This window comes from Homo sapiens, chromosome 3 (assembly GCF_000001405.40).
Source record: "Homo sapiens chromosome 3, GRCh38.p14 Primary Assembly".
NCBI classification, from domain to species: Eukaryota; Metazoa; Chordata; class Mammalia; order Primates; family Hominidae; genus Homo; species Homo sapiens.
The window spans coordinates 33,206,678-33,224,302 of record NC_000003.12 but is presented as its reverse complement, the minus strand read 5'-3'; the positions used below and the strand labels follow the sequence as shown (position 1 = coordinate 33,224,302).

Genomic DNA, 17,625 nt, shown 5'->3' with positions numbered 1-17,625 from the left:
GGCATGAAAAGACAAATATTATGTGATTCCACATATATAAGGTACGTAGAATAGTCAAATTCATAGAGACAGAAAGTGGAACAGTGGTTACTGGCTGCTAGAGGGAGGAGGGAATAGGGAGTTATTGTTTAACGGGTACAGAGTTTCCGTTTGAGATGATGAAAAACTTGGAGGTGGCCGGTGGTGACGGTTTCACAACAATGTAAATGTTCTTAAGGCCACTGATTTGTATACTTAAAATGGTCACAATAATAAATGCTATGTATATTTTATTAGAGTAACATTTTTCTATTGAAAAGTAAAAACTAGCAAAAGAGAATCCTCCCAATGGGTGGAGCTTTGGTTTACATGAAAGGAGAGATGGCTTCATTTATGGATCTTCACTGATTTATGGACAATGCCTAATCATCAGTTAATGACTTGAAAAGTTCAGAACTAGGAGACTGATAGCAAGGATGTCAGTGTGGTTCTCCTGGGATGGGCACAGCGTGTGTGTGTGTGTGTGTGTGTGTGTGTGTGTGTGTGTGTGTGTAGAGAGAGAGAGAGAAAGAGGGAGAGAGAGAGAGAGTGCACCGTGAGTCTTCATATGGCATTATTCCCTAGCCAGCCTCTCCTGTTGACTACGTAGAGAAAGGTTATTTAAATTGGATTTTTTTTTCATAGAGACTGCAGTTATTTGTCCTTATTGGAATAAATTCTTTTATTTTCTTGCTGTATTTGTTGAAATAAATTCTTATCCTAAATCTGACTTTGCCTTCTTTGTCTGGCTTTCTTCTACTAGCACCACTATATGTAGATGTATATAGAATGTCTTCTCACCCATGGCCATAGCAGCACACATTACATCATCTCTAATCAAGAAACTGATTTTGTAGAAATCGGTGGGGCAATAGACTCATTTCATGATATTTACCTAGAAGCATGTGGCTTGACAGAAAGATAAGTCACAGTTAAGGTACTAGCTAGAAGACAGCACCCCGGGAATTTGGGACATTCACTCCGGTTACAATATATGCCTTAAACCAGTAGCCAATATGTGGTGTAATTTCTCTCATAGACATAAGAGACTGGTTTAAGGACCAAGGTCAAAGTGGGACCTCTCTATTACATATAGTAACCCATCTAGCAAAGTTTTGCATAATATCCCCACATCCTTTAGATTGGTGAGTTGGGATACAACTCTTAGTAGTGGATGAAAAAAGAAAGAAAAAAAAAGATTGGTGAGTTGGGAGGTTTGGGTGCCCACGACAGAAATGCTTCCTTGTCAATTGGAAGCTGAGACTTTTCTCTTGTAATTTTGTAGTCCTCATGTTGAAGAACCAAGAGGCAGAAAAGAAGGTTAGTTTACTGACTGGGTGATGGATCCTGATTACCTGATTACCAAGGGGAAATTGGATTCCTGCTTCATAATGGGATGACTATGTCTAGACCTCAGAGGACTCCCATATCCAATAATTATGGTCACTGGCAAACTAATAAAGATAAGTCTTTGGCGGGAATGAAATTTTAGGCCCCTGTCATCAGTTAAAAAAAAATTCATGCAGGCCAAAATGCTCAGAGAGTAGAGGGAAACATTGGAATGATTGTCAAATAAGGCCTCATGACCAGTTACAGAAGTGGGGACAGTAGAATCTATATTTTGTGACAACTGTTTACTTCTCCCCTTTTCTGTTTATGTGAAACTGTATTTATGTGAATGTAACCACTGATGGTTAATATCACAGTTTAGCTCCAAGTGGAAATTTGACTGAGTTGACATTATTCCCAGGTCATACAAGAGAGGACTGACAGGATTTTGTGTTTCTCCTGTTTTATTTCTAGTTATTCTTAATCAAATGAAAGAAAAAAGTAGATGAGCTGTGCTGGTTGTTTCCCATTTGCCATTCCAGATCCACTCTTTAACCTTCTTTGTCCAACCCTGCACCCTAACAAGGTGACTTCTAAGGACCACTGCACCTGTGCTTCTTTACCCTTTAGCTTTTAAATGGTTCAGCCAATAGAAGGTATCAAGAGGAATATCAAGGATAGAAGGAGAGAGAGGTCAGGGTCTTTCTTCCTCACTCCCTCCCTACCAGACCAGTGGCAGCATCTTGATTTTTCTACCTATGGGTATCCTTTTTTTCAGGCGGCCTCTTTCATGGCCACAGCTGTTGCTGGTTTGGTAACACCTCAACCTTCCCTCACACCTTCAGGCCTCACCATGGCTACAGCTTCCAGCTGTTGCTAGACCCAGGAGTTTCACCACCCCTTATTGGTTCTCTCGGTCCTGTCCACATCACTGCATGTGGTCCTTTCATCAAACTCTCTTCTATTAAACTTTTTTTTTTTTTTTTTAAAGACAGAGTCTTGCTCTGTCGCCCAGGTTGGAGTGCAGTGGCACAATCTTGGCTCACTGCAATGTCCGCCTCCGAAGGTCAAGCAATTCTCCTGCCTCAGCCTCCCAAGTAACTGCGACTACAGGCACGTGCCACCACGCCTGGCTAATTTTTTGTATTTTTAGTAGAGATGGGGTTTCACTGTGTTAGCCAAGATGGTCTCAATCTCCTGACCTCGTGATCCACCCACTTCCCAAAGTGCTGGGATTAGAGGCGTGAGCCACCGCACTTGGCCTTCTATTAAACCTTCTTTATTTTTTAGTGCAAGGACTGAAATTCTGATTTTTAAAGTATTTGTTACTGAAGTATAAGTATTCAATTAAATACAAAGATTTCAAGTGTACAGTTTAGGGATGTTTGACAAACATATACACTCATGTGACCACCATCCCCATCAGGAATAGAACATTTTCATCACTTCAGATGTTCCCTTGTGTTCCCGTTCTATCAAAGGCAACCACTGTGTTGACTGTTTTCACCACAGATTAGTTTTGTCCTGTCTTGAACTTCATATAAATGGAATTACACAGTATGAATTGTTTTGTGTAAGACTTCTTTCACTCTGTATGCTATCCTTGAGATTCTTTCACGTGTTGAGTAGTTCATTCAGTAGTTCATTCCTGTTGTCGAATAGTATTCTATTGTGTGAATATGACAGTTTGTTTTTCTATTCATCTGTTGATGATATCCGAATTCCTTCTAGTTTTTGATCATTGCAAATAAAGCTGCTATGAACAGTTGTGCACAAATATTTTTGTGAATATAGGTTCTCATTCTTTTGGATATAATCCTAGGAGAGGAATTTCTGGGTCCTAAGGCAGGTATATGTTTAGATGGAACAGCCGGTTTTCTAAAGCAACCATACCAATTACCCTTACAGCATGCCATCTCCTCACATCAGGACAGGCCAAGACAATTGTGAATAAGCATAATCTTGAAAATGTTAGGAGAATTAAGTAGTAATATTCAATTGACTGTTTTTAAAATGTTCCTAGGCAAAGCTCCTGAGTGAGTGAGTTGGTAGCTCTTGGCAGGTACCTTCTGATCCCTCCCCTCCGTTCTCAGCACTAACCAGGCTTTAAAATGACCCCTCCAGTCCAGACATGTGAAGTCTCACTCCTTAGGTTACCAGCTAACTGTTAAAAGGGAAGGAGCTGGCCGGGTGTGGTGGCTCATGCCTGTAATCCCAGCACTTTGGGAGGCCGAGGCCGGCGGATCACGAGGTTAAGAGATCGAGACCATCTGGCCAACATGGTGAAACCCCGTCTCTACTAAAAATACAAAAATTAGCTGGGCGTGGTGGTGCACGCCTGTAGTCCCAACTACTCGGGAGGCTGAGGCAGGAGAATCGCTTGAACCTGGGAGGCTGAGGTTACAGTGAGTCAAGATCGCTCCACGGTACTCCAGCCTGGCAACAGAGCGAGACTCTATCTCAAAAAAAAAAAAAAAAAAAAAAAAAAGGGAAGGAGCTAAGTAAATTCATTTATACTTGTCAGGCCTCACTGCATTTAACACCTCACTGCATTAACAGCTACCACGCCCGGCTAATTTTTGTATTTTTGTAAAGATGGAAATTTCACCATGTTGGCCAGGCTGGTCTCCAACTCCTGATCTCAGGTGATTGGTCGGCCTCCGCCTCCCAAAGTGCTTGGATTACAGGCCTGGGCAACCGTGTCCGGCCAGTATTTGTATTTTGAAAGCAAAGTTTAATTATCCAAAATAATTACTCATTAATAGTAGCCCTTGTAGTTGATGGGAAGTAATAAGGAGAGAAGAAATCTTTTCAGTACATTTCAACAATTAATGCAAGCTGAAAAATGACACCTGTAGTAAATCAGATGTGGATTCAAATCCAAGTTCTTACTGTGAAAAGAAAGTAAATTATTTCAATGTCTGTGTCCTGGTTCATTAAATGAGGATAATCATCTGCCCCTTTAGCACCAATCACTTTTTCAATTGTAAGTATATTTTATTTAAGTGTGAACATTTTTAGGACCGATTGCAGCCACATTCAGGGTCTAGCACAGGGACAGGCATGTATGGGCACTCAATAGATGTTTGTTGACCCATACATCAATATAAAAGGGATTTGCAAATTGTAGAGCACCGCGCATGCCTCAGTTATAACAATACTGATCTTTATTACTCTACCTATGAAGAAAGCAAGTTCTTCTTTCACTGAACAGGGCTGGTGGTAGGGAGACAGGCTAGGGGCGAGCAGGAAGAAGGAATCAAGTCAAACAGGGACCCCTGCAGCAGAATCCATTGGGACACTTTAACTTAGAGTGTAGATTCCCAGACCAGACCGACAGAGTCCGAATCTCAGACCCTTTCGAGGTCAAAAAGCCCTGATTTGGGAGGTGGGTGATAATGGTGACAATCTCACTAGCCCTCTTACTGCTCCTTGAGAAATACTAGCGTACCAGGAAAAGTGGTGAAGGAAGCGTTCCTGAAGATATCCTTTCCTCAGTGACTCTCAAACTTCGCTTTTAGGAAAGAGGAATTTCGCTATTCCATGCGTTTCACACCTTAGAGTGAGGGTGGTAGGTAACTTAGATTTTCCTCTCTTCATTAAAAAAAAAAAAAAAAAAGAGTGTTGGTGGGGAGGGGGAGGAGGCCAGTTGAAAAGTAGAGGCCGAGGACAGAGTTAGACACTCGTTGTCTAACGGCCCTGCCGGAGGGGCTCCGCCTGTCAGACTGCGTCACCCTCTCGCCAAGGGTCCCCCAGACGGGCGGGGGCTCCTTGCGGCCGGCTAGCTACTCTCCCCGCCTCCCTGCGCCCTCGCCCTCCGCCCCGCTGTACCCGCAGAGCGCGCGGCCCAGCGCAGCCCCTTTTGGCACCGAGGTTTCCAGGTGCCCAGCGCGAAGGCGGAGCCGGGTTACAGCCGCCTCCTCGGCGCCACAGAGAAGACCCCCGGGAGTTCGGCGGCCCAGGCGCTCCGGCTCTGCGTCCCGAGCCTCCCCCGGCTCTCCGCGCTCCTCCCTCTCGGCGCGCCCGGCGCGAAGCCTGCGATTCGTGAGCCGAGCGCAGAGCGCAGAGCCGAGTGGCGCACGCTGGGCAGTGGCCTGGGCAACCCCAAACGCAGCCAGAGCCCTCACCCGAGTCCGCTGGCCCGCGCACTCCCGGACCATGACTGCCGAGGGACCCAGCCCGCCTGCCCGTTGGCACAGACGCCTCCCCGGGCTCTGGGCGGCGGCGCTGCTCCTGCTCGGTCTGCCGCGCCTTTCGGTGCGGGCGGATGGTGAGTGTGCGGGAGGCGGCGGGGCGGGGGGTGGAGCGTGGGGTCCGGGCAGGGAGGGCGTAGCTCGCCGGGGCTGCTCCCTCTGACCGGCCCGGCAAGCGGCAAGCGCAAGCCTGAGAGGAACGAACGAGCCGCGGTCCTGCGACCCAGCATCCCTCTCCTGGCCCACCAAGTCTCCGCGTGCCCGTGCGCCCAAACGCCCGCCTGGTGCCTGGACCCTCCCTTAGCGCCGAGCGCGTAGGTCCCGCAGTCCCGCCGCTGGCTTTCCTAAGGTCTCCAAGAAAGCTCGAATGAAATCACCTCTAAGGTGCCCTAGAACCTCCTCTGCTAAGGGGTGATTTTCCGCCGTCCCTCAGTTTCTCAACGTCTATTAATGTGCCCCTGAGGACACCGCCGATGGTTAGAAAACTCCCTCGGATATTTTGGCTTGGTCCGGGAAGACGTGAAAGATGAGTGGGAATCAGCGAGGCTAAGAGAGAGAGAATGGCCTGGCCAGAGGGAAAAGCACGTGCAAAGGCTGTCTCTGAGTGACAGGAAAAACGGGACAAATGATAAAGCAAAGTACCTGGAGGCGAGGGGACGTCTTGAGACATGAGGTAGAGAAGTGGGCAAGGGCCAGATTATGGCAGGTTCTCTGAGAATTGATCCACTTCTTGTTCGTTTGCTTGGTTTTTCAGCCTGAATTTAGCTTGTAATACTTGCCCTAAAATGAGCAGGATTGGAGCTCTGTATCCATTCCCTTTTGAAAAGCTAATTCAGCTGTGTTTTCATATTAGAACAAAATCCCGCTGACTTGGTACAGGAGCATCTGAAGGAAGCAAGCTTAAAGCCAGCAGTTCTCACACCCATGAGGTAGTTCTAGCTTAGGACGAATTAGACTGATAAAAGAGAAAAGCCCTCCGTCAATTTAGGATGCGTTGTATATTTTAAAATGTGATTCTTGTTTAGCCAACGATATTGAGTGAAACTAGAAGACATGGGGAAAAAAAAAAAAAGCATGGTTGTCAGGAAAAGGGGAAAGCCAAGGAAAAAACCGTCTAGGTCGTAGAGTTTTTAGTGCTCTCTGTTTTAAGTGCAGGCTTGAAAAGCTCTCCGTTCCTAATTAAGGATGAATGTCGTATTTCTCCATATCCTCAGAGAGAGTGTTAGAGACAAAACATTTTTAACTTTGAAGGCTGTTAGTAACCACTGCTAATTTTTTTAATTGACATGTATTTCACATAAAATTTGTCATTTTAAAATATACAGTTAAGTGGGTTTTAGTATATTCATTAGGTTGTGAAAACCATGGTTTGCATGCATCTAATTCCAGAACATTTCCATCACTCCTCAAAAGAATCCCATACCTATTAGCAGTTTACTGATAATTCTTCACTGTAGTGTTTTTTGACTGACATTGAGCCATGAAAATTAAGCTGATTTTAAAGAATGCAAGTAGAATAAATTGGAGCTAATATTAATCTTTGAACAAGATATATTGTGCCAACTTTAATTCCTTTTAAATAAATATTTTTGCAATCCATAAGGTTTTAGAGTTTCATCCCATTATAACTGTTTAAGTGGAATGCCATGTGGATAAGGATCAATATTTTGTGCCTGTCTAGCTTGATACGGGTCATAGAAAATTAAAGGCAGAAATGTCACTGGTCAAAGAGAAAGTAAGGACAACACCAGAGCACATGATTCTTTGTTACTGCTTGCCAGAAATGATTCCTTTTCTTCATTCTCCTTCCTTTTCTTTCCCCACTTCCTCAGTGGACAATTATAGGTATACTTCCTTATAGTAAACTCAATTTTATGAGCTCCAACTTTTATACTAGAACCAGGAAGAGTTATAAGCTATATTATCAAAGGATTCTTTTTGGTACTAAATTCTTAGCTGCCACCAGTTCCTACATTTAGTTATTTGTGTGCTATGGTGACGGGAGGAAGAAGAAGAAATGCTCAGCTTAAGTATGATGAATTACAGATGTTTGAAGAGATAGATTTGGAGAGAAACTATTTCTAAAAACGTGTCATCTGTATAAGGATGGTCTTTGAAATCATGTGCGTGGGCAGAATCCTAAGGAAAAATTTTACAGCAAGAAGACCTAGAACTGAGCCTGGAGTGAGGGAAGCTGGTTTGGGATTATTGAATCTATGTTTATGAAACATATTAGCCTGTAATTTTCATTTTTTATAATATCTTTGCCAAGTGTTGATATCAAACGTATGATGGTTCCTAAACCAAATTGTAAAGTTGCTCCTTCTTTAACTCTGAAAGGGTTTCTGCGGGTGAGGGCTTTTGTTTGTTTGTTTTGGTGTGAGATCATCTGTGTCTGAAGGTTTTCTTGTAGGAAGATTTTAAATAATGAATTTAATTTGTTTGGTAGATAAAGAAGTATTCAGATTTTAAAATTAATTTTGTGTCAATGTTGCTAAGTTTTATTTTTTAAAGTTTTTCCCCCACTTCATTTAGATTGTCTAATGTGGCATATACAATGTAATAATCTCTAATTATCATTTCAGGGTCCACGGGATCTGTAGTGATGTTCCCTTTCATTCTTGATATTGGTACTTTGTGTTTTCTCTTTTTTTGTCTTGATCAGTCTTAGTAGGGGTTTATCCGTTTTATTATTCATTTGAAAAAAGCAACTTTTGGCTTTATTTTCTTGATTGTGTGTCTGCTTTCCGTTTTACTGATTTCTGCTCTATCTGTATTATTTCCTCCTTCTACGTTAGAAGATTTGATTTTGTGGGACTTTTGTGTTTGTTTTTTGAGCTAGAAACTTAGATCATTGATTCTCAACCATACTTTTTTGGTATTAATAATGTGAGATCTGAGGCTATAAATTTCTCTTAAACTACTTTAGTTTCTCCATAAGTTTTTGGCCCTTGAGTTGACATGTTTTATTTCAGTTGGGATTTCTTCTTTGAACACAGTTTATTTAGAAGTATATTTTGTAATTTCCATGCACAAGGGGATTTTCCTAGTTATTGCTTTGTTATTGAGAGGCAGTATAACCAAGTGATTAAAATCACTAACGGAGCCATACTGCCTGGTTCTGTATCTCTGCTGTGTGATCTCGGACAAGCATTAATACTAAACCTTAACTATAAAATGAGGATGATAATACCACCTATATCATAGAGTTGTCATAAGAATTAATTTAATGAGTATTTGTAAAGCAATTTGAACAACATCTAGTCCATAGTAAACACTATATAAGTGTTTCATATATAAAATAAGTGATTTTAGCTTTGTTGTAGTCTAAAAGGCATGCTTTGTATGATTTTTGTCTTTTGAGGTTTTTTTAGATTTGCTTTATAGCTCAGTATTTGATCAGTTTTACAAATGTTCTGTGTGTGCCTAAAATGAATGTGTATTCTGTAGTTTGGTATGCAGTAGTGCACATAGGTTCTTACATCAAGAGTGCTAATTTTGTTTTCTGTTTTAACAATTACTGAGAGGGATAGTAGTTTAAAATTTCCTCAAGGATTGTGGATTTTTTTGTTTTTCCTTGTAGTTTTGTTAATACTACCTTTTTGTAGTTAAATGTAGGAGTGCCAGTCACCTATGGAAGTGTTTATTTAAAATTTTTTTTTGTATTTTTATTATAACTTTTGGTTCCAAAGCTGTGGAATTATTATATTTATTATAATAATTTTGCAAGTAGATGACTTGTGTCTTAGTCTTTTGCAAGCAGATGACTTGTGTCTTAGTTGTGTCTTAGTCCAATCACTGATATATTATGAAAAAGTTGGTGACAGATGGAAGTAAAGTGTCTCATTCTAAGTAGGTGTTTTCTCCCCTGCCTTTAGCTTAACTTGATAGGGCCACCCAAGGCATTGCTTCATTCCTCCAGGAGGCTCCTGGGGACCTCAGTGCTCCCTCCGGTACCGTGGTTTCCTTGCTTAAAATTCTCATTTGCCTTCAGCCTGGGCTTTCACCTCTGCTTGAATTCAGGTTCCCATCCCCCCATTAATCACACATTCTTTGAGGCCCACTACATGTCCATATATTAATGTGCTATAGGAAGCCAAGGTGTACCAGACATCATCCCTGTTTTCTTGTGCAGTAGGACAGAAGTACAGCAGACACAAATGAATTTATTGTGAAAGGGGCCTGGTAATATCTTAAGGCAAGGGACAGAGAGAAGGGAAGCAACCTGTTGTATAGGGGGTCATCCTAGGGCTGAGGGAGGCAGAAGAAAGCAGAGCTGAGGCCTAAATCAGTGCCTTAGTCATCAAGTGACCTAACTCAGGGAAGCCTAGGACACTGAGCCTTGACACATGATATTTGTAAAACACCGTTTTAAAAGAAAGATTTGAAGGGCTTTTCCAGATCGACATGCCAGAGCAGATGGTTAATTTTGGGCGGGTGGGGTGGGGAAGAAGAAGAAGATAAGAGAAAAAAAAAAGACGAAAATGCTAGTGTAATTATCATCACCTGGTCCCAGGGATGTGGATGTGGTAGTTGCTGCACTTGGGCCTTCAGGCAAGGACTACAGTTCTAACTGGCGTCTGCCAGAGGATGTTTGCTGAGACTAACTTCCCATGGATCCTGAAATCCACATGTGTTTGTTCTTGTTCCCACACAGGAAAGTTCTTTGTGCTGGAGTCTCAGAATGGCTCTCAGGGCCTACAACTGGAGGCTGCTCGGCTTTCCTGCAAGAGCAGGGGCGCTCACCTGGCATCTGCAGACGAGCTGCGGAGAGTGGTACAGGATTGCTCCTTTGCGGTGTGCACCACTGGCTGGCTAGCAGATGGTACTCTTGGGTAAGTTAGGCGAGCACTCCTTTTCCAACTCACCCCAGTTGCACCACCAAGGCTTATATAGGACTCAGTAATTGTTCTGTTGAGGTACCATACAGGCAGAGTACAGTGGGCAGTAGCGTGTTCATGTTTTGTTTTGTTTTGTTTTGTTTTGTTTGAGATGGAGTCTAGCTCTGTTGCCCAGGTTGGAGTGCAGTGGTGCAATCTAGGCTCACTGCAACCTCCACCTCCCAGGTTCAAGCAATTCTCCTGCCTCAGCCTCCCGAGTAGCTGGGATTACAGGCATGTGCCACCATGCCCAGCTAATTTTTGTATTTTTAGTAGAGATGGGGTTTCACCATATTGGCCAGGCTGATCTCGAACTCCTTACCTCAGGTGATCTACCTGCCTCGGCCTCCCAGAGTGTAAGCCACCACGCCTGGTGTGTGTTCATGTTTGAGTTTACTTACAAAAGCATTTTTCTGGAGTTCTGTCATAGTTCTTTTATCCCCTTACTTTGTTATGTTGAATTTTCTTTTTTTGTTTTAGACATAGGGTCTCACTCTGTCCACCAGGCTGGAGTGCTGTGGCACAATTATAGCTCACTGCAGCCTCAACATCCTGGGCTCTAATGTTTCTCCTGCCTCAGCCTCCTATAGCTAAGACTATAGGCATGTGCCACAACACCTGGCTAATTTTTTTTTTATAGAGGTAAAAAATGCTTGCTATGTTGCCCAGGCTGGTCTCGAACTCTGACCTCAAGCAATCCTCCTGCTTTGGCTTCCCAGAGTGCTGGGATTACAAGCGTGAGCCACCCTGCCTAGCCTTGAATTTTTTTTAAGTAATAAAAAGAATACATGCTTATTGTAAAAATTTCAAATAATGCATATATATATAAAGTACAAAGTTAAGTTTCTCTCTTCTTCTCCACCTCAGAGATAATGACTATTAATTGTTTGGTATACATTCTTTATCCCTTTTTTCTGTGGATACTCATCTGCATGTATATGTATAGGAACGTGGTATGGAGGTTTTAAAATATGGCCACAAATTTTTTCACACCACTGCCATCAATAGGTGTGTTTGCCTCTACTGATAGAATACAGCAAAAGTGAGATTACGTGACTTCTGAAGTTAGGTTGGAAAAATCCATGCCGCATCTGTCTAGATTTCTGGGGACACTCACTTTTGTAGCCTTGAGATGCCATGAGGAGTCTGACTGTGCTGAGATGGGTGTGCTGTGAGGAATGCCAGACCACATGGAGGTATCTCCTTTAGGGGCTCTTGCCAACAGCCCTAACCAATGTCCTAGCCAGTGGCTAGCATTAACTGCCAAAAATGTGAATGAAGATGCCTCTAGGTGATTCTAGCCCCCAGCCATTGAGTTATTGCCAGCCTATGAGTCTTGCCAGCTCAGCCCCTAGACATTATACGCAAGACTAGCCATTCCTGCTGTGGCTATTTGAGTGCCTGACCCGTGGAATCCTTTAGAGAAGTAATTGTTATGGCCAGCTAGGAGAAATCTTTCTAATAGTGCTGAAACCTGCTTTGTTTTAAATTTTTATTAATTTATTAGTTTTTTTTGTAGAAACAAAGTCTTGCCTTATTGCTCAGGCTGGTCTCAAACTCCTGGACTCAGGCAGTCCTCTGGCTTCCACCTCCCAAAGTGCTGGGTTTACAGGTGTGAGCCACCATGCCTGGCCTAATTTTATTTTTTAAATTGACAAATAATAATTGTACATATTCATGGGGTGCGTAGTGATGTTTTGACACACATAATTGAGAGTGATCAGATCAGGGTAATTGGCATATCTGTCATCTCAAATATTTATCATTTATTTTTTGCTGGGAACATTCAATATCCTCCTAGCTATTTGAAATGATATGTTATTGTTAACTATGGCCATCCTACAGTGGTATAGAACACTAGAACTTAGAACACTCACTGGGGAAAGGACAGTATCTTCAATAAATGGTGCTGGGAAAACTGGATATCTGTATGCAGAAGAATAAAACTAGACCCCCACCTCTCACCTCATATAAAAATCAACTCAAAGTAGATTATAGAACTAAATGTAAGACCCAAAACTATAAAACTACTAGAAGAAAACATAGGAAGAATGCTTCAGGATATTGGTCTGGGAAAATATTTTAATAAGATCTCAAAAACACAGGCAACAAAAGCAGAAATAAACACTTCTTTAGTCATGCTCAGAGAAGGCAGGAGCCACTTCACTTTTTCCTTCATGCCACAGGAAATGTGAAAGCAAACAAGGCACCAAGAACTACTTTGGTAGATGATGATCCTAAGATGTCTGGCTGGCGAGTGGCCATAGAAAACATAGCCATGCTGACTCATGTCTCCAAATGTGCCAAGTATGAAGCAGCAACTGAATAAAGGGACAACTGAGGCTACATCCAAAGCCTTTTGGTGAATCTGGAACTGTGGTCCTCTCTGCCTTACATTTTATATCTATGCTCTTGAATAGACAAAATATGCCCTGTGCATGCATTTCCATAATGTAGTCAAGTAGGAATATTTTTTCATAATCCTGTTACTATAAAATTTCATCAGATAACCAGAGTATTCACAGATTCTGAAGAGACCGCTTGCAACTAGGCTTAGGTCTCTCAAGCATTGTATGCCAGGACTGGATGATTAGAAAGGTCCATCTTCTGTAGGTTTACTATAAGGTATTAAGACATATTAGTGGATCTCTGCAGGCTGAAATGATATTACCTTACAAAGAAAACATACAGCTGGGTGCAGTGGCTCATGCCTGTAATCCTAGCATTTTGGGAGGCCACGGCGGGCAGATTAGTTGTGGTCGGGAGTTCAAGACCAGCCTGGCCAATATGGCGAAACCCAGTCTCTACTAAAAAAATAAAAATAAATAAAAAAATACAAAACTTAGCTGGGCATGGTGGTGTGTGCCTGTAGTCCCAGCTACTCAGGAGGCTGAGGCAGGAGAATCGCTTGAACCAGGGAGACAGAGGTTGCAGTGAGCCAAGATGGCACCATTGCACTCCAGCATGAGCAACAGAGCTAGACTCTGTCTCAAAATAAATAATGAAAGAAAGAAAATAAAGAAAATATACTTGTTATATTTACTATACAATGTATTAAAATAGTTTTTCTATCCCTTTTTAATTTATTTTTTAAAACATATTATTCTCTTTTCACCATTCCTATTCAATGTCCTTTCATTTTATTTTTCTAGAAACAAGCATCTGACCATTAGTATGTACATTTCACTGTGGGCCTTTCCTGCCCAGGTCTCCACTCCCTCACCACACACTGAAAAGCAATGATTAAATGTGTGGTGCATCTTGTAATTGATGGCATAGTAGACATCTAGCACATCTGCCCTATATCTCTATGAATTTATGTTGAGTGTACACATAAATCCAGAGAATGATAAAGGCCTAGAATGATGAATTCAGACTTTTGGGCCACTTGTCTCCTGGAAACCTTTGCAGATTCCATAAAGTGTGGCTAAAAAGCTGAATAGCAGTTTTAATAGCCACATGGGACTAGGAGGTTGGAGATTTGAATTCACCTTCTGTGTAGGAGGGGACCCAGTGAGCCGTTTTGCTTTGGGTTGGGACCTTGCAGGGCTATGCCCTAAGGGTAAGCTGGACACAGTACACTGTACAGTGAACTGTTCGCAGGCCCTCCTAGGAGAAGCAGCACATCTTCAAATACTCTATAGCCATGAATTCGGATTGAGATGACCCTGAATTTCCAGTGCTCCAGATGTCTAGGAGAATCAAATAAAAATTATGTTTTGAGGAAGATAGTATCCTAGACCTCAATTAATTTCAACAAACAATTTAGCCAATGTAGGATTTGTCACACAATATAAAATAACTAGTTGCATGAGGAGACAAGGCAAGTAGAATAAAATTCAGAAGAAACAATAGGTAATAGAAACTCCAGACATTAGGATTGGTAGATGCAGACTTTAAAATAACTATCCTTGACATGTTCAAAGATATAAAAGATGAGAAGGAGAATTTTGGCAGAGTGTGGAAACTGTAAAAATAACCAAATGGAAACTCTAGACATGAAAAATTCAGTAACTAAAATTAAGAACTTAATGGATAGACCTAATAGCTGATTAAAAAGAGCCAAAGAGGGCTGGGCATGGTGGTGCATGCCTATAGTCCCAGCTACTTGGGAGGCTGAGGCAGGAGGATCACTTGAGCCAAGGAGTTCAAAGTTTAAATACAGTCTAGACATCATAGTGAGACCTTGTTGCAAAAAGAAAGAAAAGAAAAGAAAAAAAAAGAAAAGAAAGAAAGAAGAGAGAGAAAGAAAAGAAAAGGAAGGAAGGAAGAGAGAAAGAGGAAGGAAGGAAGGAATGAAGGAAAGAAAGAAAGAAAAGGAAAGGAAAGGAGAGAAAGACTTTTAAAAAAAAGAGCCAAAGAGAGGATTAGTGAACTGGAAAATATTTCAGAGGAAGATATCCAGAATAAATAACAGAGGGAAAAAGGATGAAAAATTATACAACAAAGGGTAAAAGACAAAGAAGATGTAATATGATTTGAATTCTAAAAGGAGAAGAGAAAGATAAAAGAAAATAGAATAAAAGTAATATGAAAATGATCCACAATTGAAGAAAAACATCCAGACACAGATTCAAGAATCCCTGCAAAGCTCAAGTAAGACAAATACAAAGAAATTCACAGCTAGGCACATCATGGTAAGACTGGTAAGAATCATATATGAAGAAAAGAATATTTTTATAAATTAAAAATGCTGAGATTGTCTTTAAAGGAGCAACAATAAACTGACAATGAAAGCCCAAAGACTTTTGATATTTTGAAGGTACTGAAAGAAAATTACTGCTAACCTAGAATTTTATCCTCAGTGAAAAATATCTCCCAATAATAAAGGTGAAATAAAGACGTTTTCAGACAGACAAAAGGTGAGAGAATTCATTACATCCAGTCTGCACTTAAACACTAACAAGTGCTCTTCAGGCAGGAGGAAAATATTGCATGAAGAAGACTGGAGAGGCAAAAAAGAATAAATGGAAGGAGTAAATATGTGGACCAATTGAAATTATGTAATTGAAGCAGTAACAGTAACACTGGATACTAAAAAATGATTTATATAAGTGGGAAGTATTTTAAGTGTATTCATATGTAGTGTTTTAAGTATTTCAAGTTGTATTATTAGGGAAGATGATAAAAGTAATAATACATTTCAATAAGTCAAAGAAGTTGTAACTTCTGGGTACCACTGAAGAAAATAGAGAAAGGATATTTAACTTCCAAATCAATACAGAGAAAAAAGAGAATACTGCCCCAAAAAAGAAGAAGAATAATTCAGATAACCCAAAGTGGGAAAAAAGAAAGAAGAGGAAAGGAAGAGAGAATGGGCAGAACTAATAAAAAGCAGATTTAAATTAGATTGATGATTAAATTAAGTATTAGTAGACAGGAGGCTCCAATTAGAAAACAGAGATTGTGAGATGAACTTTTAAAAATTCAAGTATTTGCTGTTTAGAAAAGATATCCTTAAATAAATTATGGGAAAAAAATTATAATGGAAATTATCATATATTTAGAACTAATTAAAAATGTACATACCCAAACTCATGGGGTGCTGCCAAAGCTATACCTAGAAGGAAATCTAAAACATTAAATGTTTGTTAGAAAAGGAAAAAAGTTGAAGTTTCATGAACTAAAGAGCTAAAGAAATTTGAAGAACAGCAAAATAAGAGAAAAAGAAAATAGCAGAATTTTATGAAATAAAAACCAACATAATCTAGAAGAGATCAACAATATATTGCCTTTGAAACTCGAATTGATACCTATAACATCAACTGAAGCATCACCTGTATTTCTGAATTTAGACCTTTTTTTTGCAGAGAATGTGTCCAGATTTATGCTTTCAGACAGAGCTCATGAATCAGAAAAATCTCTGCTGATTCGGAGCTGACAGCAGAAGAGAATTATTCCTTATTATTTTCAACCCAGAGTTTTCCTCATTCAGTGCCTTTTTTGTCTATTTCAGAACAACTGTGTGTAGCAAAGGAAGTGGAGAACAGCAAATCATGAGAGCTGTCGATGTGAGAATTGAGAGCAACCCAGTTCCTGGTGGCACATACAGTGCCCTTTGTATTAAGGATGAAGGTCAGTGCCAGAGTCTTCTTAAAGGTGCTGGAGGGTGTGCTCTTGGGGATTGCTATATGAGGTTGGTTTCTCTAGAAGAAAACCTTGAAGTGAGGATTTACTAGACATGGTTTATCAGGAAGTCTTCCAAAGAAAAGCCAATAGTGCGGTGGGGAAGTGGACAAGATGAGGAAGGGGGTCAAGCATCGGTGCAATATTAAGTGAAATTCACAGTGGTGGTGAGGTGCCGAGTAACTTTGGCTCAATCACTCAGGAAACCCCTGGAGATAGTGTATGTATGTAACCACAGTTTTTCTGATTGGGGTGAGGGAGCTGGAGTAGTTATACCACACCTGTCAGTCATGTGTGAAGGGTTGCTTCAGGAGATATAAATTCCCAGGTTCTTCTGTTTTTTCGTGTGTGCACAGGCAAAAGGTTCCAGTAGCCTGAGTCCACCTTCCAACAAAGAGGCAAAGGTGCCTACCAGGAGTCCGTGTGCATGGGAATGGTAAAGGTGTCTAGAGAATGTGGGCAGAGCCCTGGCAGCATCTGATACAGCTGCTGATGTTCAAAGCTTGCCCTCCAGTCTCTCTTCATATTGGACAGTACACTAAAAAGAAAATAATATTTTTCCCAAAAAGGAAATTTATAAGATTTAGGGAACTGCTCACAGTAAGGAAAATCCAAATTCCTATTGGGAAATCAGCTGAGTGGTGAGGAGAAAATCATAAAGAAGCCTCAAGGGCAGCATTTTGTATGCACCAAATAAGTACACCTCTGTTATCAGAAACACATACGGTTGTAAAAGGAATATTCATGTGAATGGGGAGGGAGAAGCAAGCTTCTTACTAATCAGTCATAGAAACGAGCACAGGTTCTTCTTGGCTGCACACTGGACTCATTGGGGAGGGGTGGGGGGAGTAATTAAAAAATACTGATGCCTCAGTGCCAGCGCTAAAGATTCTGATTTAAATGTTCTGGGTTTTTTAAAACTCCCTTGTGATTTTAATGTACAGCCCAGGTTGAGAACCCTTTCTGTAATGCAGTGTTTCCCAAACTCCCCTGATGATGTGAAATACCAGAAGAACTTGTTGAAAGTACAAACCGTCTGGCTGCATCCCAGAGGCACCAAATCCTTATCTCCAGGAAAG

At 41.2% G+C, this 17,625-nt stretch overlaps 1 protein-coding gene across 2 annotated transcripts in view; it reads left to right on the top strand.

Moving 5' to 3' along the window:
- The first annotated feature begins 5,492 nt into the window (after window positions 1-5,492).
- Window positions 5,493-17,625, top strand: part of SUSD5 (sushi domain containing 5) — a 68,768-nt gene continuing 56,635 nt past the window's right edge. For both annotated transcript variants that reach the window (XM_005265034.4, NM_015551.2), the window contains exons 1-3: window positions 5,493-5,617; window positions 10,198-10,375; window positions 16,377-16,495. In XM_005265034.4, the coding sequence (XP_005265091.1) occupies window positions 5,506-5,617; window positions 10,198-10,375; window positions 16,377-16,495 (409 nt within the window). In that variant the 5' untranslated portion in view covers window positions 5,493-5,505. The remainder of the gene's footprint in view (window positions 5,618-10,197; window positions 10,376-16,376; window positions 16,496-17,625) is intronic.